At 39.9% G+C, this 26,550-nt stretch overlaps 1 protein-coding gene across 2 annotated transcripts in view; it reads right to left on the bottom strand.

Moving 5' to 3' along the window:
* The window catches only part of VSIG1 (V-set and immunoglobulin domain containing 1), a 60,306-nt gene extending 36,641 nt beyond the window's left edge, over positions 1–23,665 (bottom strand). For both annotated transcript variants that reach the window (XM_011530936.3, XM_047442073.1), the window contains exon 1: positions 23,566–23,665. In XM_011530936.3, the coding sequence (XP_011529238.1) occupies positions 23,566–23,593 (28 nt within the window). In that variant the 5' untranslated portion in view covers positions 23,594–23,665. The remainder of the gene's footprint in view (positions 1–23,565) is intronic.

Genomic DNA, 26,550 nt, shown 5'->3' with positions numbered 1-26,550 from the left:
TAAGTGATTATAGTAGTGTGACCATTGATCATTAAAACTAGGACACTTTTGAAAGTGAAAGGGGCACTATTAGCAATTACCTGGGAAAGACAGCATAAACAGTAACAGTGCCAGACAAACCTGGGTGTCTGGTTACCTACCCACAGGGGATTACTAGGCACAAAGTAGGTGCTAAGTAAGAGCTTGCTAATTAATTCAGTATGTCTGAGTTGGTTGGCCCTAAGATGAGTGCAGCAGAGGGTATGATTTAAGGATATTGCCCAAACCCATCTGCACCAAAATCTGTTGTGCAAACACAAAACACTCTGGAATATTTAAGTAAAATATCTATACTGCTGCTATGTAAGACCTAACCAGGACAGGAAGAATTCTGTTATAACAAACTCTAAAAGAGAATTTAAACTCTCTGCTTGGACCTGGATTTTGATGTTATTAACTATTGCTTAAAAAGTGGGTCATTAACTAGGACACGAAATATTAAATATCCTTTGCAGTTTTATAGAGCTTTATAATTTTTAAACTAATTTTCCATTTTATCTTTGTAGCTTTCCAATACAACAAATAAATCAGGTATACCTACATTTTCTATATAAGAAAACTGAGGCTCAAAAGTGCTGTGCTTTTCCCAAGGTCACCATAGCACGCATTAGAAGCTGTTCCTATCACACCACACAATGGCACGGTGTGATTGTAATGTAACAAATATGCTACTGCCCCCAGTATTCTTCCTTGGGAACTTTCAGAAATATGTGATATCTGATTTATCCCTCATTTTTAACTTAAAAATTACAAAAGTAATACATTTTGATAGTAAATGGTTTTCAAAGGACAAACAAGGATACAGAGGAAAAAAAGTCCCATTCATTCACTCACACATGTAATCCCTTTCCCAGGCTCACATGGAACAGGAGTTTAGCATTTTTCTCAGACCTTTTTCTATGCATGTACACATGCACAAACACACACACACACACACACACACACACACACGAGGTTTTTTAAAACATAAAGATGATAATACTGTACATTTTGTTCTATAATTTGCTTTTCTCCCTTAAAAAAGGTATTTTTATTCTCTCTTTCTGTCACTGGGTCCAACTGCATCTATAGATCAACCTTGTCCATGTTAAGGCTGCATGGTATTTCATGATATGAATGTACCTCAATTTATTTAATCATTCTCTTATTGGTAAATTCTTAGATGGTTTCCAGTTTTTCAATATTATTGACAATGGTTCAATGAACATGTAGCTTTCCAATACAACAAATAAGTCAGGTATACCTACATTTTCTATATAAGAAAACTGAGGCTCAAAAGTGCTGTGCTTTTCCCAAGGTCACCATAGCACGCATTAGAAGCTGTTCCTATCACACCACACAATGGCACGGTGTGATTGTAATGTAACAAATATGCTACTGCCCCCAGTATTCTTCCTTGGGAACTTTCAGAAATATGTGATATCTGATTTATCCCTCATTTTTAACTTAAAAATTACAAAAGTAATACATTTTGATAGTAAATGGTTTTCAAAGGACAAACAAGGATACAGAGGAAAAAAAGTCCCATTCATTCACTCACACATGTAATCCCTTTCCCAGGCTCACATGGAACAGGAGTTTAGCATTTTTCTCAGACCTTTTTCTGTGCATGTACACATGCACAAACACACACACACACACGAGGTTTTTTAAAACATAAAGATGATAATACTGTACATTTTGTTCTATAATTTGCTTTTCTCCCTTAAAAAAAGTATTTTTATTCTCTCTTTCTGTCACTAGGTCCAGCTGCATCTATAGATCAACCTTGTCCATGTTAAGGCTGCATGGTATTTCATGATATGAATGTACCTCAATTTATTTAATCATTCTCTTATTGGTAAATTCTTAGATGGTTTCCAGTTTTTCAATATTATTGACAATGGTGCAATGAACATCCTTTTGTCAAGATCTGCCCACTTGTGTGATTATTATTGTAGATTAGGTCCCTAGAAATGGAATTGCTTGATCAAAGGGTATGTAGTTTACATTTTTGGTAGACTGCAAAATTGTCCGCCAGAAGTTCTTTACAAACCATACCTCCATTAAGAGTGTATGAGAGTGCCTGCTTCTCCACAGCCTTGTTGGCAATGAAAATTATCAGTCTTTTATTTATTTATTTACTCTGTAAACCTCCTCTGTGGTCCTCAGCCTTTTATTTTTACTAGTATCATGGGTGAAAATTGGTATTGTGTTGTTGCTTTAATTTGTATTTCTGTAATGTGGTTGGGCCTCTTTGTAGAGGTTTACTGGCCTAACTGGTATTCCTTTCCCTGTGAATTGCTTGTTTACAAGCTTAGCCCATTTTTCCACTGGGTTATCTGTCTTCTGATATTATAGAAGTACTCTTTATATGTTATGAATCTTACTCTGGGTTTGGTATCTATGTTATAAACATTTTCTTCTGGTCTATCACTTTCCTTTTTAATTTTATGTTTTTCACCATAAAGAAATTTTCATTATGTTTTAATCTATCAATTTTTTTCTTTGCAGCTTCTGAGTTTCATGCCTTCCTTAGGCAAGTCTTCCCCAATCCAAGACTATAGAAATATTATTCTATATTATTATTGTATAATTATGATATTATATATTCTGTTAATGCTTCTATAATTTTATCTCTTGCAATCTCAGTTATAGCAATCCTGTTCTTCTAGTTGCTCAGGACAAAACCTTGGTATCATCCTTGAGTCTTCTCGTTTTCTCATATAACACATCCAATTTGTCAGCAAATTCTTTGGGCTCTGTGTTTCAAGCCTATCTAGACTCTAAGCACTTCCCCCATCTTTGCTGCCCCCCTCTTCATCTGAGCCACCAGTGCCCATTACCCGGATCATGGCTATAGCCTCCTAACTGGTCTTCCTGCTTCCACCTTTGTCCTTCTCACAGTCTATTCTTATCACAGCAGGCAAAAAGATTCTTTTAATATGTAAGTCAGACCATGTCTCACCTTTGCTCAGATTCTCCACTCGTTTCCAATTTGGTAGAAACCAAAGCATTTAAAATAGCTAGAGGCTGGGTGTGGTAGCTCACGTCTGTAATCCCAGCACTTTGAGAGACTGAGACGGGTGGATCATTTGAGGTCAGGAGTTCGAGAACAGCCTGGCCAACGTGATGAAACCCCCGTCTCTACAAAAAATACAAAAAGAAAAAAAATTAGCTGGGCGTGTGGTGGCACACACCTGTAATCACAGCTACTCGGGAGGCTGAGACAGGAGAATCGCTTGAATCCGGGAATTGGAGGTTGCAGTGAGCCCAGATCAGGCCACTGCACTCCAGCTTGGGCGACTGGGGAGCGAGACTCCATCTCAAAAACAATAACAAACGAACAAACAAAAAATTACCTAGGAATGTATAGCCCATGTGTGAAGTATCCTAGTTAACACATTCTAGGTGGTTGATGGGGGGCAATTATAAGCCCCTAAATTTGCTTAAGTCAATTCCAGTGCCCTTTGTATTTCTCTTACAGTTGTGCTGTCCAATGTGGCAGCCACAAGCCTCAAGTAGCTTTTGAACACTTGAAATGTGCTGTAAGTGTAGCAAACACATTAGATTTCAAAGACTTAACATGGAAAAATATCATTAATTCTTATGCTGACTATATAAATAATAATATTTGGAATATATTGGGTTAAGTAAAACATATTATTAAAATTTAAAAAAATAAAATAGCTTAGAAGACGCTAAAATGATCTGTCTTACCCACACCACCACCTCTCTAACCTCATCTCTTAGCATACTTCCCCCCTGCACTCTGCTCTAGCCATACTGCTCTCCTTGTTGAATCCTCAACTAGCCTGGCACATGCCCACTTTTAAAAAGGCATTTAAGCTGCATAGTATTCCATGATGTATATGTGCCACATTTTCTTTATCCAGCCTATCACTGATGGACATTTGGGTTGGTTCCAAGTCTTTGTTATTGTAAATAGTGCTGCAATAAACATACGTGTACATGTGTCTTTATAGTAGAATGATTTATAATCCTTTGGGTATATACCCAGTATTGGGATTGCTGAGTCAAATGGTATTTCTGATTCTAGATCCTTGAGGAATTGCCACACTGTCTTCCACAATGAGATCATGTCCTTTGCAGGGACATGGATGAAGCTGGAAACCATCATTCTCAGCAAACTAACACAGGAACAGAAAACCAAACACCGCATGTTCTCATTCATAAGTGGGAGTTGAACAATGAGAACACATGGACACAGGGAGGGGAACAACACACACCGGGCCTGTCACGAGGTTGGGGTTCAAGGGGAAGGAGAGCATTAGGAAAAATAGCTAATGCATGCAGGGCTTAAAACCTAGATGACTGGTTGATAGGTGCTGCAAACCACCATGGCACATGTAAACATATGTAAAAAACCTGCACGTTCTGCATATGTATCATGGAACTTAAAGTAAAATAAAAAAAAGAAAGATGAAAAAAGGCATTTATACTAGCAGTTGACTCTGCCTGTGTGACACTTTCACCCTGGGTATCAGCAGAAATGACTCCCTCATCTTCTCTAGATCTTTGCCCAATTATCAGTTTTCAGCAAGGTTACACAATTTTAAATTTTAACTGTCCCCACTCCAGCCCTCCCAATCCACCTGCTTTTTCCTTTTTTCATAGCACTCATTACTTTTTCACATAATACACAATTTACTTATTATTTGCTTCACCACCCAGCTAGAATGTAAGTTTCAAGAAAGTAGGAATTTCAGTCTGTTTTGTTCACTATTTATCCCGAGGGCATAGAACTGTGCTTTACACACAGTAGGCACTGAATAACTATTTGTTAAATTGGTGAATTTATGAATTTGGATTTAATCCATTTGGAGTATTTTTTGTGTATTGTGTGGGATAAGGTGAAATGTTTTTTAAATGTCCTAAAGTCTGAAATAGTGGCAAATCATTACCCTTTGATGAAGATTTGCTCTTTGGAAACAGCTAGGTCACTTGAGGCAAATTCTAATTAATAAGGTGGTAATCAAGTGCACTAATGTTGCTTCGTAGTCAATAAATGAGGTGTAATCATAAAGTAAAGAGGCTACTGTCTTTGCGGTGCTTGGGAGCTGACTTAGAAGGCAGTCTGGGGTTTCTAAAAGGCAGTCCAATGTAATTCTTATGGCACCAGCATGAGAGAGAAACAGAAACAGGGTAGATGGGGAAAATCTGAGGCTAAAGCTTTTTCATATATATTTTTTGATCATCAAAGTAAGCATCAAAGGAAAATCAGAATTTATTGATTGAACTTTCTCTTACATATTTTGTGGTTTTGTATAATTTTTTAAAAATCTGAATTACATATGAAAGGTGAAATCTAGTCAGTGCTTAGAGTCTAAAGATTTTAATTCATTTATATTGGAATGGTTCTAAAGAAGGTGTTTCAAAAACCCCTTGGGCAATAACTGCACCACTGAGGCTTCATTACTTTTTCCAACTGCCTGCCATGCATCTCCTCTTAAAGATCCCCCTGGCACTTCAAATTCCACCTCATACATCTCTCTGTCTCTCCAAACCTGCAAACCTGTGCAACATTCCAACCACTGTTGCTGGTGCCCTCATTATAATAACAGTAAGAGAAACCCAAGTGAGCTCTGTGATGTTGTTATGCAGTGAAAGTCCCTCTTCTGCCTGCCATCCCCACGCATAAGGACAGTAATTTTTCTCAGTGATGAACCTAATGTGACCACACGTCCCTAAATGTGCCCTCTGGACATCTTACTGGGAGTCCTCCAGAGGCCTTCAGAAAAGTGCTAGAAGTGGATCTCAGTAAGGCTGTGAAGCAGGGGAATTTCAAGGGCGTATTGAAGGAGGGCCATGGAGGTTCCTGTCATCTTGAATTTGGAATATCTTTGTTTCCTGTTTTAGAGGGAAGAACCATGCAGAAAGTTCTCCTTTGGCAAGTCATGTTTTAACAATAAGTATGAGTCAGCTTGTGCTGAGTAGCCTGGGATTGCTTACCTAGTGATAGTAGGGAGGCTGGAGTGGGTTAGTACCAGGAACTCTATGTTAACTGATAGTGTGACTCAACCTATTATGTACATTGAACTGTTTGGGGAAGCCTACTCCTAAGCAATTTGTGTTGACGCACTGTACAAACACATGTCATAGATTGCTTGGAAAAAAATCACAGGCATGTGCAGTTGCACTTCCCCCAACTCCTATTCAACACAAAGAGGTCCTAGACCCTCCAATTCTTTCAATTCTGGAGAGGTTAAGCTTGACCAGAGCCACAAAAAAGTCACATTCTATTTCTATAACTGCAGTGCCTTGTATTTTTTGACTGGTCCTATCCAACACTTCTTAAAAATGCCATACCTGAGTGAAATTAACCCTAAAAAACAGACATCCTTTTGGAGCCAAGAAATTGAAGCATTTCACAGATACCAAAACTGATTAATGGTACCTGTGACATAGTGATAAGAGCTACGAAATGCTGATGACATACTAGATGACAATAAGGCCCTGGCTGAAGCATTTCTTATGCATTGTGTTTCACAATAATCATATAAAGGAAGTGTTAGTTATACTCCTCATTTTACAGATGAGGAAAATGAAGTTCAGAGAGGTAAGTGACTTGCCATTGGTCACACAGCTTGTAAGTAGAAGACCAAGACTTGAGCCCAGGTGGGACGGCTCCAAAGCCCATGCCCTTACCCATTATGTGATATGGCCTCCTGGCACTGGGCAAGGGACAACAGAATACATAGTCAACCCAATTCCTGCTCCCCAGGGTCACGCTCTTGCTGGGAAGATAAGACAAATACACACAAAATAGAGATTAATACTAAGAAGTATTATGATTATGAATAGCTGCATTATGCTACACAGAAAACAAATAAATACAAGTACAGGAAAGAGACTGTGGGTCATTGCATGGGATGTCTGTGAGCCCTCAAATACTCATTGCTCATTGGGGTCCACCTGGCAGGGGAGAGGAATTCTGGGAGGATTTGATCATGAATTTTGAAAGTGAGAATCTAGAATGGACAATAAAAGAAAGAAAAAGAAAAAGAAAGAGACAAGTAGCATTTCAGAGACCAAGAATGGCAGAAAGGCAGGAGGCAAGATTGGTTGTACGTAAGGGCTGGAAAATATCAGTATTGTAAATATCTTTAAAAAAAAAAGAATTGTTACTGTAATCCCAGCACTTTGCGGGGCTGAGGCAGGCAGATCACTTGAGATCAGAAGTTGAGACCAGCCTGTCCAACATGATGAAACCCCGCCTCTACTAAAAATACAAAAAAATTAGCTGGTTTTGGCAGCACATGCCTGTAATCCCAGTTACTCGGGAGGCTGAGGAAGGAGAACCGCTTGAACCCAGGAAGCGGAGGTTTCAGTGAGCCAAGATCATGCCACTGCACTCCAGCCTGGGCAACAGAGCAAGACTCCATCTAAAATAATAATAATAATTGTTAAGACAGGAGTTAGGTATGAAGGAGTGTACAAAGTAGACACAAAAGCAGGAAAAAATGACAAAGATGGCAAATTCTGTTTTATTGGGTTTAAATCATAAGAAGCAAACAAAAGGTCTGGGTGTGTGTGTGTTTTTTATTGTTGGTCATTTGTCTGTTTGGTTTTAGTCCTGTACAGTGTTTTGCATATGCTTTGTTTCCGCTGTCTTTGGTTTTAACGAGAGGCAGCATAGCCTAGTGACAAAGAATATGGACTCTAGAATCAGGCAGCTTGGCTTTAAACTTAGGCTCTGCCACTTACTGGCTGGGGGACCTTAGGCAAATTATTTAATTTCTTTGTGCTTTGTTTTCCTCATCCACGAAATAAGGTATAATAAAACTTACATATAAGATTGTTATAAAAACTATATAAGTTACTATTTGTGAAGTGCTTAAAACAGTGCCTGCAGACAGTAAGTGCTCTCGATATGCTTGTGGTATAAATGCAAAAGCAATTCATTCCCAACACTGAAATGTGGGAAATTTCTAAAATCATTGTGTAAAGATCTTTCTACAAACAAACAAACAAACAAACAAAAAAACACCTGGTAGATGTGGCCATCCAGGCAGATGGCACCATGGCAACAATTGACGATATCAGAGTAGTGGCTGCTGCCAGCTCCCACAATCCCCTTCACTCCCTGCTGCTTATACCTGGCCCACTTCGTGTGATCTTGTGACTCCTAGTTTAAAGTGAAAGGAACATCTTGGCTCCTAATATGCCTTTATATTTTCAAAGAGAGCTCATAAAGGAAGCAATTTGGGTCTGGAATCCAGACCTGGCTGAGTTCACAGGATGCTCTAATCCTTAGAATTCAAGAGAACGCATCCATCCTCCTCTCCCAGCCAGGATCCCCCTGACCTGAGATGCTGGGTCACCGGGCTGTACAAGCACCCCCAACCCCAAAACCTCCTCCACTGCCTCAAGTCTTCCTGCCCAGTTCAGCCCTTCTGATAGGAAGGACTTAGGACTCCCACAATCCTTTGCAGCAGCAACTCTGGTGGAAGGCCAGAGCTGAGATTAGCAAAGCAAGAATGTGCAGCCTTCCTCTGAGTTGCCAGACAAATAAATTGTGTCTTCCTTTTTCTGCTTGTTTAGTGGATTCAACTCTGCCTCACGATCTAAAAAATCCACAGCTGAGGAGTTATTTACACAGCAACTAGCCTTAAACCAAACCGTGAGATTAACTATTTCTTCAGAGCCCTCATCTGTTAAGGCTTTTTTTCAGGCAGTGAGCTTTCTAATTTTCCCTGGCTCTTTGTGGTCTGGAGCTGCTCGGGAACACTCAGTAGTGAGCCCCACATCAGCCTCCCCCAGTGGTTTTCTAACAGTCTCAGCTCGTATCATTCCCCCTCTGGAGAGATGCCTTTCCTTTCTGCTCTCCAAGAGGATGACTGAGCCCCGTCTGGGCAGGGCAGACATTCAGGCCTGCTGGCTCCTTTACCCCTGGAGATGGTCTCTCACCTTTGTGGGGAATGACTAATGGCAGAAATGTCAGGACACCCAGGAGAAAAGTGTGGAGGGAGACGTTCAGGAGAAGAGACATTGGGGCTTCAGTCAAACCCCACTACCTGCACTGCTTTTGAATAAGCAGCCCAGCTGTGCTTACACCTGGGTGCAGCAGCATGAGGAGGGTCACAAAAGACCCACTGCCAGGAATAGAACTCAGGTGGCCCACCATGCAGAAAGCGTTAAGACACAGAGGTGACCTAACAATGCTAGAACAAGTTCAAATCCTTCATTTCACAGAGCCCAAAACCTGCCCTGGATCTCACCGCTCGTAGCGACAGAGCAGAGAGTAGAACATGGGTCTCCTGACTCTTTTGGTGTGACTTCCTGGGAGAGGGAGAGGTGCAAAGGAGGGAAACTTGAGAATGGTTACACACAGCAGCGTATCTGATGAATAACAGCCCTAGAGCCCCTTCCAACTAGGCGGAGGTGCACAGCCTGGTCCCAGCCCCAACCAGCAGGAAACAACTTGGCCAATTTCCACCAGTTCATGACCCTCCCAAGGCAAACAGTGCCTGGTCTCCTGTAGGACCTGCATCTGAGAACCTGGTGGGAAGGGCTCTGGGTAAGGAGAGAACTAAGGAAAGCATCTATCTGTAGGGAAAGCTGTTTTGTCCTACATATAGCTCCCTGGAACTGCCACCACTCACCCCAGCAATATTGAAATTTCTTACCACATTATTCAGTGAGGGTATGTGTTCAATGGGTGGTTGGATAAGTTGATGGCATATGGTCTAGATCTCCATTGCCTCTATGACCTTATCTCCCACCACTCTTTGCTCAGCCTTCTGCAGCCACTCTGACCTCCTTTTTATTCCTCAAACATGCTAAAAATGCTCCCACTTCAGGGCCTTTGCATTTGCTGTTCCTTCCATTTGGTATGCTCTTCTCCAGTTGTCTGTAGGGTTTTGCTCCCTCTCTTCCCTCAAATATTTGTTCAAGTATCACCTTCTCAGCGATCCCTTCCCCAGTTGCCCTATGCACCTGTCACCCTAAAACTCCTTGCCCTACTTTTATTTTCTCCATAGAGCATTTATCATCATGTTACATTACAGTACATACTGTGTTTAGTGTCTTTCTGCACTAAAATATGAGCTCTGTGAGGACAGGGACTTTATCTGGTATGTTCATTCCTGCATCCTAATCACCTAGAACAGGGCCTGGCACATAATAGGTGCTCAATAAATATTTACTGAATAAATGGATGGGTGGATACAGAAGCGGTGCATGTTTACATAAATGAAAGTGGCTTTGTAAACATATATTCATTCCATTTATTCGTTTTCTAAAGAAATACTTCTTGCATTCTCTTATGTCTCAGGCTTCCCACCCAGTCTAGTGGAAAACAAAGATGAGTTGACATGAAATGACGATACAGCAGAGTAAGCACTATCCAGGGTTTGTGGAAGCACAAGAAGAAATTGGTGAAGGCTTGTCAAAGGAGATGGCCCTTGAATAACAGAAGATGTTAGTCAGGAAAAGAAAATTGAAGTGGGGATGTGGAGAAGGACACTTCAAGCAGAGGGAACAACAAGTGCAAGAAAAAGGCTCCTCTGGGCAACAGCTTTACCATATGGGGCCAGAGAATGGCAGGGAAGGAAAGATGTTGGTAGAAGCAAGGCTGGAAACGAAGCAGAGGCCCTAGTTTGAGAGCCTTGCCTGCTGTTATAAGTATCCAGTTAAGCCTTTAAGTCAGTATGGCAAACTTGCCAAATGCAGAGATCCAATTGTACAGTGTGGTGACTATACTTAATGATGACATACTTTAAAAGATCATGTTGTACACGATAAATATGCACAATGATATCTGTCAATTTAAACAACAAAAACACTATAAACATTTAGTATACAGATGTGTATAGTTTGACCTATAAAATTATTCCTTTAAATTTGGTGGCCAATATTTTAAACATTAAAATATTTCACATAAAAATCCAAAATTCTTGCTTTTCTTGAAATACCAGAATATCACACCCCAGCAGGCCCACATGGCTACGATTGCCAACATCTGAGCAGGAGTTATCTCCACTAAACAGAGCTCTGGCTCTCCAGTTTGTCAAAGCCCCAAATTAGCCTTTTTCAGTGATTATGTTATGGCTGATCCTCAAGCTCTGGTATGGCCAGGAAGTGGCAAGGCTTGGGATTTGAGCCTTTCTCCATAAAGCCCATACTCTTACCCAGTACATGATTAATGATTGGCACACACAAAAAAAGACACTCCATAATACTGTATTTGAAGAAGGAACACACTCATTCCATTGTCTCCTACTGAAAGGTCTTTGCCTCTGTTTCTACCCTGGCAAATCCTGCCCTATCTCTCAAGGCCCAGCTCAGATGCAGCCTCCTTCATGAGGCCTTCCCTGATTTCATGCTCCCCACCCCAACAGATGTGGCTAAGGGATGGAGGACCTGAAGGCAACAAAACTGGGATGCGGAGGAGTATTTGGAGGGCAGATCACTGGGATCATTAGAGCTGGGCTGTAGGTAGAAGAAAATATCTGAGGTTTGAACTTTGGAATTTGTGCATCTGAGTGGGAAGTGCATAAATGGTGGAAGCTGAGAGACAACTGTAAAAGAATTAAAACAGACTACAGTTTTTCCTTGCTTGAAACTTTGTCTCCTTTTATTTTATCCTCTTGTTTGCCTTTTTTTCCTTCCTATGTCTCCACTTCCTGTACCTTAACTGGCATTAGACAACTCACCAGCTTACAAAGATCACATTTGAAAGAACTGTCCTGACAGTAGCCAAAATGAGATTGCACCAATGATCCCGAGAAACCAGAACAATTTCCAACCATTCCAACTGGAAGTTTTGCAGCGGTTACAGATAAAGAAAACTGCAAGCTGGGACAAGACCACAGTCACAGAAGAGATGAGGAGTCTCCGCTGCTTGTCCTATAAAAACCCGATCCTACTTTGGCTCAAGGAGTTACTTAACATTGAGTTGCATGTTCCCTGATGCACATCAACTGAATAAAGCCTGTAACCTCTATTTGAGTCACTTTAACTATTTTGGTCCTTAACAGTTTTGTCACTGTGACTCAGATTGGGTCTGAATAGGCCCTTGAGCCTACTGAGGTTTCAGATAAAGACAGAATGAACTGAGGGACCTTCTTCCTCCCTTCTTGGAGGGCCCTATTGGGTCAGATAAGTCCTGTTCCCACTCACGTGCTCCAATTTTTTGTTGTGTCAAGGAAGTTCCATGTTTTGATTCTTTGGAAAGGTTAACTTGTTTTCTGATTAAAGTCATTACTTCTATTTTCCTTTTGTCTTTTGGAGTTCTCTGGCCTTTCAGGTCTCCAAGAGCAGAGAATTAGATGATGATCATAATGTAGGACCAGGCCCTTCACCTTTCTTCTGCATTGAACCTTTTTTGTTATGAGCTAAGTGGTATGACCTCAAGGAAGACAATTTTTAGCTGCAGTGGTTCATTTGGGACTCTCGGGACATGTCACAACGCAAGCATTTGCATGATTCTTTAGAGCAAAAGGAAACCAGATAACATATTTACAATGGACAGCTTTCCTTAAGCCAAAAGAAGAAGCTGAGGAAAGAAACAATTCAGAAAGTTTCCAATCTGTTGAGTCTTCTTTTAAAACAACCTCAGCTGTCTCTCTCTCTCCAAAGACCTCCTCCTTTCTATCAAACTCTATTTCTTCCCCTTACAATCTGACTTTATCCTGGCCTCCCTACTCTTCTGCTTTCTGTCCTCTGCTCTGCTCTCTTTCTCCTCCTTTTCCACTTTCTCACCTTCCTCTCACCTTTTGACCCATACCTTCACCCTTTCTGGATATGGAAAAGCCAAATAGAGAGGAGAAAGTCTTTTAAAGGCAATTGGTGAAGGTTTTCACTATTCCATCGACTGAGGAATAATCCAAACCTGTCAGCAAGGGTGTGATAAATCTGTTTCCAATTTTAGGGACCAATGATAGAAAGCATTTTTAGGAATGCTCAGGGTTGGGCATTAACACTAACACTCCAACAACAATCTGCACATTCTTTACTAATGGCCTTAACCCTGATATATCAGATGCTATTCAGAAGCATAAAACAGGCTGGCAGACCACATCCACTCATGATTTACAACACTTTGAGTTCAGCAGATTTTAAACCAGCATTTTGTGGAAAGCATAGTAAATAAAGAGAGAAGCACACCGCAAACTTATGTCATTACAACTCGAACAGCCTGGGGGAAATAAAAAGGCCCTCCACAATTTAAACACAGAGAGACACAGACACTTGCAGATATTGCAGAGAAAAAGACACTGGACCTGCAATCATCCCGCTGTAGCAAAGAAATGAGACACTCAACTAGAGTTGTTAGATTTAGCAAATAAAAATGAAAAAATATATGAATTTCAAATAAATGAGTAACATTTTAGCATAAGTATGTCCCATGAAATGTTGGGTACACACTTGTACTAAAAAATGATTCATTTCTTATCTGACATTCAAATTTAACTGCACTTCCCATATTTTATTTGGCAACACTATACAGGTTACTCAATCTGAAATAAAGCAATTCCCCTTCTCCGAGGAATGTACCCTTCAGTATCCTCAATTGTCTTTGGATCAGCAAGGAGAAATAACTCTATTTATTTGTGAATGGCTACCCAAGCTCATTTTTTAGTAGACCCTGGAGACACACTCTCCATCATTAATTCCTTCTAGTTTCCTACCATCCTTCCTCAGAATAATTTTAAAAAGCTCAGTAGTGGGACTCACTTGTTAAACATATTCACTTCCTCTCTCTAACCCTTCGCTTATCTCTTTGGGATGCTTAACCTCTCAATATATCTTTCTCTTCTGTCTTCCACCCTCCCTAACCTATACAGATGGACCTTTTGGCTCAATGGGGAACTACTATTAGATGTATATCCAAAGGCCTTTTTCTTGATCTCTCAGTCTCTCATGACCCAGTACACCATCCTATGGGGCTTCCCTCAACTCCTATGCACCCACTCTTAAGTCCTCTATTCACTTCATTCATTGCATTCACATTGCAAGCCCCCTCACACTTCTCTCAGCTTCTCAATCATAATCTCAAAGACTTACAATTTCCCTGGTCCTCTGCCTTGATCAGATAGTAAGTAACTTGCTCTTATGTTCACCTGATTTAACCTCTTCTCAAGAAGACTCTATATCAGAAACTTTGTTTATAAAAGGAAATATTGTAAGGACAAATTTGTAATAATAATTTACTGTTTAAATTACTGTATAAAAGGATAAATTTGTAAGAATAAATTACTGTTTCCTTAGGCCCAAGTTCACTATCTAAGCCATGGTATATCCTAGGGAGGCAAATTCCTCCCGGTGAATAGGAGTACGGTCATTCAAAATTGCCCTTGCCCTACTACCAAAAGACAATTTAGAGGATTTCTGGGACTTATAGGATATTGCAGGTGGTAGATTTCCAACTTTTCTGAATTAGCTGGCACCCTCAGTGACATGAATTAAAATGGTATTCCTGAGCTTCTGCCTTGGATGGTCACTACAGAGTTAGCCATTGACCAACCCAAGGCATTTCATTTTGGGTCACCCCAAAATTATACTATCTTTTTTTTTGGTTTATATATAAAAGGGATGATCAAGCTCTTGGAGTTTTATCTTAGAAACATGATGGAAATCAGAGACTCATTGGGTATTACAATATTGCTCCATCCAGTAGCTAAATATATCCCTCTTTCCTGGGGGCAGTAGCTGTCGCCGCATTTAATCTTGGGATCACCTTTTCATCTAATGGTACCTAATGAAGCTCAGACCCTTCTCATCACCAAAGCACCCAACATTTCTCTGCTTCTAGACTCATTTCTTATGAATTACTATTTCTGTCCTCCGTTCATATCATCATCTATTAGGAGTCTATAGGAATACTGTACTCTTTTTTAAAAAGTGAGATATGATTCACATACCATAACTTATCCTTTTAAAGTGTACAATTCCATGGTTTTTCATGTTTTACAATGTTGTGCAACCAACATCACCATCTAATTTCTGAACATTTTCATTGTCTTCCAGAAAAATCATAAGCAATCACTCATTATTCTCCACCTGGCAACCACTAATCTTCTTTCCAACTTTATGGATATTCTTATTCTGAACATTTTATGTAAATGAAATTATACACTATGTGGCCTTTTGTATCTGGCTTCTTTAACTTAGCATAACATTTTCAAGGATTATCCATGTTGTAGAATGTATCAATACATTACTTCATTCTTTTTATGGCCAAATAATATTCCATTATATGTTTATCCATGCATCAGTTGATGGACAATTGGGTTGTTTCCACATTTTGGCTATGATGAATAATGCTGCTTGAACATTTATGCATAGGATTTTCTTTGAAGACGGGTTTTCAATTTCTTTAGGTATATATTTAGGAGTAAAAATGCTGGGTCATATGGTAACTCTATGTTTAACTGCTTGAGGAACTGCCAAACTGTTCCACAATGACTGCACCATTTTACATTCCCACCAATAATATATGAGGTTTCCATTTTTCATACTCTCACAGTTGTTACTGCTGGGCTTTTTAAATTATAGCCATCCTACTGGGTGTGAAGTAGTATCCCAATGTGGTTTTGATTTGCATTGCCCTAATGACTAATGATGTTGAGCACCTTTTCAAGTGTTTATTGGCCATTTATGTATCTTCTTTAATAGTGTCATAATCTTAACGCAGCTAGTTTATTTCCTCTTTCAGAGAAGGTGAAAAGTCTCATGATTGTTTAACTTGAGAACTTTATCTGCCTCTCTCTGATCTTCTTGAAACTCCTCTACAAAACTCAGAATTCTTTGTAGGTTGGTCATATATTGAGACTGAACAGGTGTATTTTCAAGTTAAGTATGCCGTCACTACTTCCTAAGAGCTTTTTGAATATGACCACCTTCCTGAAGTCAAGTTAGCATAACCAGCTGAATTTATAGGCTTAACTCTAGCCTACCAAGCTAGCAAAGAATAAAAGGGCTAACATATACACAGACAGCAGATATGCCTTTGGTTTGGTTTATGATTTTAGCATGCTATGGAAACAACACAGCTTCCTAACAGCTTCTGGTACTTCAATAAGCAGCATGAGCACATACAGGCTTTACTAGATGCTTTGCTACTCTCTCAAGGAAGTGACTGTAATTAACGTCAAATCTCATACTAGGGAACAAACCCATAAAGCAAAAGGAAATGCCCTGTCTGACCAGTATGCTAAACAGGCTGCTCTCGCCACATTCAATTTGTTCAGCATATTAAAGACAACCTGGTTACTGCAGATTGCTTCCATGAAACTTTGAGCAAATTGCAGTTAAAGCACCAGACTCTGAAAAAAGATACTGGGAGAAATCTGGGTGTTCCCTCCAATCAGATGGGTTCCTATGGAGACACCAAGACTGCACCTGGTCTCTCCAGTCTCTCTGAAACAGAGCTTGATGAAAATTTTGCAGGTTATGATTCATAACAGTAAATAAACTTGAAAACTATTCTCAGACAACATTGTTGGGAAAATTTTAAACAGGAGATGAAGTCTCTAGTGCATGTTCCATCTACAAGACTCATAACCCTGGAAAAACCATTAAGGTAAGACATAGACAGGAACCACAGCCTTGAGGATTCTTCGAACATTTACAAGTGAACTTTGTATAACTTCCTTTATCGCAAGGATTTGAATATGTATTCATTACTGTCTTCCTTCTCTCTGGATAGCCAGAAGTTGTTCCTTTTAGCCTTCCTTGTGACAGAGATACTCATTTTACCAGGACTATAATTAAGAGGATTTGTAAGGTATTGCCTGATGGCCAGAAATTACCCATCTCAGCCATTCAGGAAGAATGTAAAGTGCCAATGGTATTTTAAATAATGTTTATTTTTGTTTAACTTTTATAAGTGAATATGTACATTATTGAAAAATTTAAAAACACAAAATCACCCACAGTCACACCCAGCTTACAGCTTGAAATATCTATCTAAATCCTTATGTGTGTACACACACAATTGCGCATATATTTGTATGTGGTTGAGATCACACAGTATGAATCTTTACTAGTTCAAAGAATATCATGAATTTTTATCAATTCAATGTCCCAAAGTCATGAATATTTTGAAAACCAAGAATATACAACACCAACTCAATTGGGAAAGAAATGTAATCCTGCCTTCCATGGGGACAAAAATTTCATAAAAGACAAAAATGACAAAAATTATCTGGATAAAGATTTTGGCAGACTTACAATTAAAATACTTTATTCTCTTAATGCTCGACTTAAAATGAGACAAAAACAATAGTGAACAATAAGTATAATGCTTCTAAGGGAATTCATTCTTAGATCTATACTATTGAAATATTATCCAAAAGATACGTTTCCATTGAATTATTCGACATTTTTCATTTTATATAACAATTATAAACATAAATTCCTCTAATGTGGAGCCTGAAAATATATGAAGCAAAAATTGATAGAATTGAAGTGATAAATACACAGTTCTACATTCATAGTGGGAAGCATCAATATCCCACATTCAACAATGACTACAACAAACAGAGAGAAGATCACCAAGGAAACAGAAGACGTAAACAACAGCATGAGCCATTTTGACCTAATAGATGTCTAGAAAGCAATCCACCCAACAATAGAAGAATAAACATTCTTCTCAAGTGCACATAAAACATTCTCCAAGATAAGTCACATAGTAAGCCACAAAACAAGTTTCAATGAATTTTAAAAGATTAAAATCACATTAAGTATGTTCCTTGGCCACAATGGAATTAAATTAGAAATTAGTAACAAGAGGAAATTTGGAAAATTCACAACTAAGTGAAAACTAAACACTACTAAATAGCTACTTGAGTCAAAGAAGAAATCACAAAGTAAACTAGAAAATACTTTGAAATGATGATGATGAAGATGAAAACATAACAACCGAAACTTGTGGGATGCAGCAGAAACAGTACTCAGAGGGAAATTTGTAGCTGTAAATACCTACATTACAAAAAGAAGAAAGATCTGTAATTGATAACCTAATAATTTTGCACCTTAAGAAACTAGGAAAATAAGAAGAAACTGATCTCAAAGCAAGCAGAAGGAAAGGAATAATAAAGATTAAAGCACAAATAAATGAGATAGCGAACAGAAAACAATAGAAAAAAAACAGTGAAATGAAAAGTCAGTTTTTTAAAAGAACAGTAAAAATTCACAAACTTTTAACTAGACTGATCAAAAATAAAAGACTCAAATTACTAAAATCAAGAGTCGGACTCAGGACATTACTACTGACCTTACAGAAAATTTTAAAAATGAATTATCAGAAAATACTATGAACAAATGTATGTCAACAAATTAGATAATCTAGATGAAATGGAAAAATTCCTAGAAACAGACAAATTATAAAAAATGACTAAAATTAGTTAGAAAATCTGAATGTAAAGGAATTGAGTCAGTGTTCTAACTATGTTTTTGCAGATTCTGTATTTGTCTGTTTGGCATCCATTAATTACAGGGCCAAACTAATGGCCAAGTTATCAACATCTCCCCTGCAATCCAGAGCCTATACTCAGAACTACCACCTTATCTAACTCTCACATATCAAGCCACATTTCCCCTGCCCTAAATCAACCCAGGGTCAGGTACCAGACAACTAGGAAGCGTTCCTATGTCCAAAAACCCACCAGAATTATTCAAAGTAGCCAACCCTAAGCTGTTTCTCCTGCCTTGCCTTGCTTTTCCTATGGAAACTCCAATAAAGGCTCTAGCATAAGCTTCCCTCATTTATTTCTGCCTCCTAACCAACACTGGTGCTTCCCCATGTGACCCTGTGTGGCATGATGCATTCCCTTCTCTTGGGAAATGTAATTAACAAAACTTTTTCAATGGGATTAGCATCTCTGTCTGTTGTCATTTGGTCAGCTCTATAAATTAAAATCCTGTGGGTACAATTGAGACACTCAGTAATAATAATTAAAAAAAATGCCAACAAAGAAAAGCCTAGGACCAGATGGTTACACTGCTGATGGTTTAACAAATAATTAAATAATTTAAACCAATCATTCTCAAACTCTTCCAGAAAGTAGAAAAGCAGTTAACATGTTTCAATTCATTCTATGAGGCCAGCATTACCCTGATATCAAAGTCAAAGACATCACAAGAAAACTACAAACCAAAACTCCTTATGAATATAGACACAAAATCCTCAACAAAACACTAACAAACTCACATGTTAACAGACTATACAACATGACCAAGTAAGATTTATCCCAGGAATACAAGGTTAGTTCAGTGTATGAAAACAAATTAATGTAATACACCATATTAATAGACTAAAGAGGGGGCACATGATCATCTCAATAAACACAGAAAGAACATTTGACAAAATCCAACACTCCTTCATAATAAAAGCACTGAAAAACTAGGAATAGAAGGGAACTTCTCTAACATGATAAAGGGCATTGTTTCAGTCCACTTTGCATTGCTATAAAGGGATACATGAGGCTGGGTCATTTATAAAGAAAAGACATTTATTTGGCTTACAGTTCTGCAGGCTGTACAAGAAGCATAGCACTATCATCTACTTCTGGTGAGAGCCTCAGGAAGCTTTTACTCATGGCAGAAGGTGAAGTGGGGGCAGATGTGTCACATGGTGAGAGAGGGAGGAAGAGAGATGGGTGGAGGTGCCAGGCTTTCTAAAACAGTCAACTCTCACATAAACTAATAGAGCAAGAACTTACTCAGTACCACACGGAGGGCTCCAAGCCATTCATGAGTGATCCACCCCTATAACCCAAATACCTCTCACTAGGCCCCATCTCCAATTTGGAAATCAAATTTCAACATGAGCTTTGAAGGGGAAAAATATCAAAGCTATTTCAGGCATCTATGAAAACCCCACAGACAACATCATACCCAATAATGAAAAACTGAATCATTTCCTGCAAGATCAGGAACAAAACAAGGATGTTTACTCTTGCCATTCCTATTTAACATTGTATGGAAAGCTCTAGTCAGGGAAATTAGACAAGAAAAAGAAAGAAATGACATCCATATAGGAAAAGAATGAAAAGTACTGCTGATCACAAATTACTTGATCTCATATATAGAAAACCCTGAAATATCCACAAATAAACAATTAGAGCTAAAAAATGAGTCCAGTGAAGTTGCGGGATATAAGATTAATACTTGAAAATCAGTTACATTTCTTTACAATAGCAATGAAAAGCCTAAAAATAAAATTTAGTAAATAATTTCATTTACGGTAGCATCAAAAAGAATAAAATACTTAAGAATAAACTTGACCAAGGAAGTGAAAAAACTGTACACTGAAAACTACAACACTTGTTGAAAGAAATTTTTTAAAACCTAAATAAATGGAAAGGCATCCCATGTTCATGGGTTGGAAGACTTAATATTGAGATGGCAATATTCATTGAATTGATCTACAGACTTAAAGAAATTCTTAGTAAAATTCTAGCTGCCTTTTTTAGAGAAATCGACAAGCTGATTCTAAAATTCATACGGAAATACAAGGGACCTAAAAAAAACCAAAGCAATCTTAAAAAACAACAAAGCTGGAAGATTAACATTTCCCAATTTCAAAACTTACTACAAACTTAGATTAATCAAAACAGTGTGATACTGTCATAAGGGCAGACATATAGATCAATGGAATAGAATTGAGTCCAGAAGTAAGCATGTAAATCTATGGTCAATTGATTTTTGACAAGGGTGCCAAGACCATTCGATGGAGAAAGAATAGTCATTTCAACAAATATTGCTGGGACAAATGAATACCCACATGCAAAAAGCATAATTTTTTTACTCCTATTTCACACCATATGCAAAAATTAACTTAAAGTGGGTCATATACCTAAATGTAAGAGCTAATATTATAAAATTATCAGAAGAAAACATCGGTGTAAATCTTCGTACTTTGGATTAGGCAATGTTTTCCTAAATATGACACCAAAAGTATAAGCAATAGAATTAAAAATAGATTGGACTTCACCAAAATTAAAATTTTTTGTTTGTCAAAGGACATTATCAAAAAAGTGAAAAGACAACAAAAGGAATGGGAGAAAATATTTGTAAATCTTATATCTGATAATGGTCTAGTATCCATAATATATAAGTACTATCACAACTCAATGATGAAAAGACAAACAACCCAATTTAGACTTCCCACTTCAAAATGGTGGCATAGAAACAAGCTGGTTTTACTTCCTACCCTCAAAACCAAAAACAAATATACGGCATTGAGATTATCACCAGCAACATCCCAGAACTCAAATATGAGGATAAGACAGTTCCCAGGGCAGCAGAGAAGTGAAAAAAACTCTGAGCAGATGTTAGAGGATCAAACTTCCATATTTGTGATGCCCTTTCCCCCAATCTGCCCAGCACTAAGTGCATAGAAAAATTTCCCCCAACTCATAGTTTCCACACTGGAAAAAGTATGATTGAGGTAAACAACAGCTTCCCATCATCTTAGGTTACCTGACAGGAGACCTGTCTCTGCCTCAACTCATGGGAAGCATTGAGAGTACCTGAAGAGAGGAATATTTCTGTAGACAGCCACAGACAAGTAGGGGAAGTGGGACTGCCATCCTCAGCCCTGGAAACTCTGCTGTGTAAATCAGTCAAGAGATGCCAAAACAGATTAGCTGTTCAGCAGCACCATGCTGTAAGAGGTTCATTCCACAGATCTCCAGGCATGAACCCCTGACCAGTCTTCCCATACTAACAGGATATCCTATTTGGGACCTTCCCCATTTCGGACTGGTGGCACCCTGATTGAGTACCAGAACTGAGGAGGCAAACCTGAGCTTAATTAAGGCGCCATCTAGTGCAAAAAAAGAGGCAGTGACCTAGTGGGAAAAAAGATAACAGGTAAATTGCAAAGAATCTCTAATCAAACATATTTAATAAAAACCAAAACAAGCCAGACAGAGAAGACTGGTATAAGTAGCTAATCCTTCACTGCAAAGACATAGATGTACATACACAAGAAACAACAGCAAACACAAAACCAAGACCTCCTCAAACAGACAAAGCAAGCAACCAGTGATTCACACCCTAATTAGATGATGATATTTAACCTCTCTGACCAAGAATTCAAAACAGTAGTTTTAAGGAAACTCAGTGATCTCCAAGATAACACAGAAAAGCAATTCAGAAATTTATCAGAAAAATTTAACAGAGATTGATTTTTTTAAAAAATCATACAGGAATCACTGAAAAATACTTTTGCTGAAATGAAAAATTTATTAGCGGCTTCCAATAGCCAAATGGATCAAGCAGAGGAAAGAATCAGTGAGCTCAAAGACAGGCTATTTGAAAATACACAAAGGGAAAAAGAAAAAAAGGTAAAAGGAACAAACATCACCTACAAGATATAGAAAATTACCACCTGGTGAGGCGTTCAAATGGTTGATTAGAGGCATCTCTTACTTGCCTCCTCCACTAGGAAAAACCAAAATAGTGAGTAGATAATCACACTTTGAATAGATCATCAGAGAGAATACTGAAATTCAACACAGAAGTGGCAGGAAACACCCAGAGCAAGAAAGGAGAAGGAAGCAAGTTGGCCTCCTAACCAAGATCGGCTGGGAGCCAGGAGAGACTCTCCTGTGTGGGGAAAGGATAAGCGAGAGACTCCCAGTGGCTCCTGCTTCAGGTTCCTAAAATCCTAGCCGTGGTAGAGTCCCCCAATCCTTGCTGGCCGAAGACTAACATAGAAAGTTCCCTGGAAACTGTGTGAAGGCATTGTTTCAGAGGGAAAACTCATGCTGGGTCCCACAAACCCCCAAGTTCTAAGTAGTGTCAGCATAGCACCATTTTGAAAGCCCAACCCACACCAGACTACATGCTGCCCTGCAACTAGGGCTGAGGCAGAAGCCACAGAAAACAATTCTAACCTCCCCCGAAGAGGGGTGGCTGCACATTCTCATGTGCAAAGGACAGATTCCACTGCCTGCAACTGCTGCAGCTGCAGACACTGTGGGCCAAGGTACAAGTGAAGCCCATGCCCCTCAACTCTCTGCCTATGGCTGCTCCCATGGAAGGCAACCTCAACCTGTTCAATATCAGGGCTGCAGCACAGCCATGCCACCTCCACCTGATCATTCCACTGGTGGCATAGGGCTCACCCTGCCCATGCATACAAAAGCCAGCATTTATATGCAACACGGGGGGGCAGGGTTGAAGCACAATTTGGCCAGGCTACCTCCACCCCAGTACACAAGCACATCAGGGACTGCAGGTCACACAGCCCAGTTCACCATAGTGGCACCTGAGTAATCCTCCTGGAGTCTGAAGTCAGGCACACTCAACCTCTGCTATCACCACAACTGGCACCCACTTGCACATTGCCACTCACAGTTCTGGGCACCAGCCCTCTCAACCCATCACAGCTCCTGCCAATACCAGAGTGGAACACTTATATCCCAAAGTGTTGTCTCACCACTGGTACCGACATTGCCCCTGCTATGCTCACTGCCCAGGGGCTAGAGAACCTGTTCACCTGCCTGGCCCACTGCTGCCACTTCCAGCACCCAATTAAGCCACCTGGAGGCCCCAGAATTAGCTTACCTGGACACACTAACAGTGGTGCCAGCATATGCTGCCCTGAAGCCCAGGAACAGGAGCACTCAGTGCACCGTTACCACCACGAGGGCCCAAAGACTAGCTTACCTGTCATCCCAGTCCCCAGCAGAACTTCACTGTAACCTCCACTAATAACCACACCCTAAGCCACAAAGGAAATGACAGACACCACTGACACTGTTTACAGACAAAGAAATCATACAGAGACTACACTACTTCATGCACCCAGAATCAAAGCCAAAGTGCCCTACTCAAGTAACACCACAGGTACACCTTCAAAAAAAGTCCTCCTCTGTGAAAGCAAATTCTAAACATTGGAATAAGCAACTATGAAGATGTAGCAAAAATTTCTTTTTTACTTTGGGAAAAAAAAAGCTGAAAGCAGCCTTTTCAAATTATATACACTAGGCCCTCTTAAAGGGGACAGAAAATCTTTCCAAAGTGTATTGGACACTTTCTATTGGCCAAAAGTGGCTCTTTATTTTACTTTTTCTGTCTTCCATTATCAAGGTCTGGTAGAATAAAGACAGAGCATTGGTCACTAGATCCCTGCACTTGTGTTCGTCCAGGGCTCCACACAACTGACTGATCTGGCAAGGCGTTTATTTATTGTTGCCAGGGCCAGGTGGCATCTTATCCAAATGGGACACAGCAGTGACTCCAAATCCCCAGACCTGAGTGGGCCCATGGTCTAAAGCTGAGGTGACCCAGCTGGCATCCACACTGACCCACCTTCTCAGATCTCAAGGCCCCTCAAAGCCCTCCTAAGCATTTGGGCTGCGGCCATTCTTCCTGCCCCACCATGTCTGCTGCCCAAAGGCACCACATCCTTGATGGCCTGCCCAGGCTGGGCCAAGAAACAAGCAGCAGCAGGCACTGCCTGGGCCTAGGGAGGCCACCAGAGCCATCAGGTCATTGAGATGGGAGTGGGTGGGGTCGCTGCTATCTCAGGACAAAGACTAGCCTGACTGTGGCAGTGAGGGTTCTAGGTTACCATAGGCCAACCTGGCTGGGTGGTCTCTGGGATTAGAACTCAATTCTCACCTTGCTCTCTGCTGGAGCTGACTCAAGCTAATAGAATTTTTAAACCAAAACTTCTTAAATTCTTTAAATATTGACAACTACTTTGGCTTAAGGTATTCTAATCGACACTAAGGACAATCTAATCCTCTACCTCTGGCAAATATTGATTGTTACCTCATGAATACATCACAAGCAGACCAGTGAGACCAGGCAATACCCCCTGATTTTAGACTCCACTTTGTTGCAAGCAAATAGGACCAATACTATAAAAGGCTAATACAATATACTCAGATTTAGCACCAAAAGGTTCAACTGCCTTTCTAGGCCAAGTCGCTGCTTACACAGAAAGATCTTTGCCCCCAATTTTGCACCCTAGAGTTAATGCTTCTATATGAGTATAAATAAGGTGACTATACATCATGGCTTGCCCCAGACAGTTCTGTGACTTACTTTCCTGAAGTGCAAGGCTTGATATACGGTCACTCTTGTCACAGTGTAATGATTAATAGTGCCACTTTTACAGCCTGGCCAACCAGGGACAACAAACTATGGAGTCACCACAGTTATAAACCTCATACTAATACTGATGGGTTAAAGCAGCAAATCTCACAAGCACATCCATGCAGACCCCTGGGGAGGAATTGTGGAGACCAGGTGTGCACACCTCACAAAAAGGGAGAGAACATGACTATCATAAGCCACTGCACATGTGCACTGAAGCTTGGGGAGGGGACACTGAAATGTGGGCAAACAGGCCAAGACGGCTTTCCCTGACCAGAGATTAGGGGTGGATAACGTGGAGTTTTGCAATTGAGTTTGTATACTTTAATTGAAGTTGTTACTGACAAAGCTCTAAATAACCAAAATGCACCTCCAATGTGTCAGGGCAGGGGAAAACAGCCCCCTAGAAAGTATATCTCGGGAGCAGGAATTTCATGGAAAGAGAGGCAACATGGCTACCCATTAGACAACTGCACTTGAGTAGTGAGGGTAGGAGTGGGCGACTCCAGAACGGGAGGTTGTCATTGGCAGTAAGAAGGGAGTCGAATGAAAATAAAACAGGTATTGGAGCCCAAGTCCCTCTGACTCTAAAGCCTGTGCCATTCTTCACCTTGCTCTTAGAGCCTGGCACATAGTAGATAACAGTCAACACAGTTTAAATAAATTAATTCACACCATAGCTTCTTTCTGGAAAGTTCTTTCTTTCCATATCTGGGGAAATTGTGCCCTATCCCTCAAGGCCCAGACCAAATGCAGCCTCCTCCATGCAGCCTTCCCTGATTCCATGCCTTCTTTTAACCCCAACAGTTGCAACCTCTCCTATAACTAGGGGGTGGGTAGGGGAAGACTATGGAAAGGCATTAGCACTGGAAGTGCAGAGGAATATCCTTCTAGGATGGGACAGAGCAGGACTGGAGAAGGACTCTGAGTTGTGAAGATGGAGATTTTTGCTCTTGAGTTTGCCCATTGGAGTTAAGGTTGATACAAGGGATTTTAGGTGGTTAAATCCATGACATGATAAACCATACTGAATCCTACCTTGGGGAAATGCTTGGAAATTGTTATTTTTAACAAGCAGCTCTGGTGATTGATACAATCAGGCATATTCCAGAAACTGTGCTAATCTAACCCTCTCAATTTACAGGAGGAAACTGAAAATTTCTAACCCTCTCAATTTACAGGAGGAAGCCCAGAAAATGTAACTGACTTAATCTAAGGTCACACAGCCAGTTACTGACATAACCAGGAAAATGATTAATCAATTATATCTCCTCTGATATAGCCTTATATTAAATTCTCCATGGACAATGCTGTGTCTCAAACATACTAGCCATTCGACAAATACCTATACGAATGAATGAATAAGATTAGCACTTGTCATCTGCCAGGATTCAAGGGAATGGATGCTAGATGGGTAAATTCTGATAGAAAAAAAAGTAAGTGAAA

Source organism: Homo sapiens, chromosome X (genome assembly GCF_000001405.40).
Source record: "Homo sapiens chromosome X, GRCh38.p14 Primary Assembly".
Lineage (NCBI taxonomy): Eukaryota > Metazoa > Chordata > Mammalia > Primates > Hominidae > Homo > Homo sapiens.
This window is presented reverse-complemented; position numbering and strand designations above follow the sequence as displayed.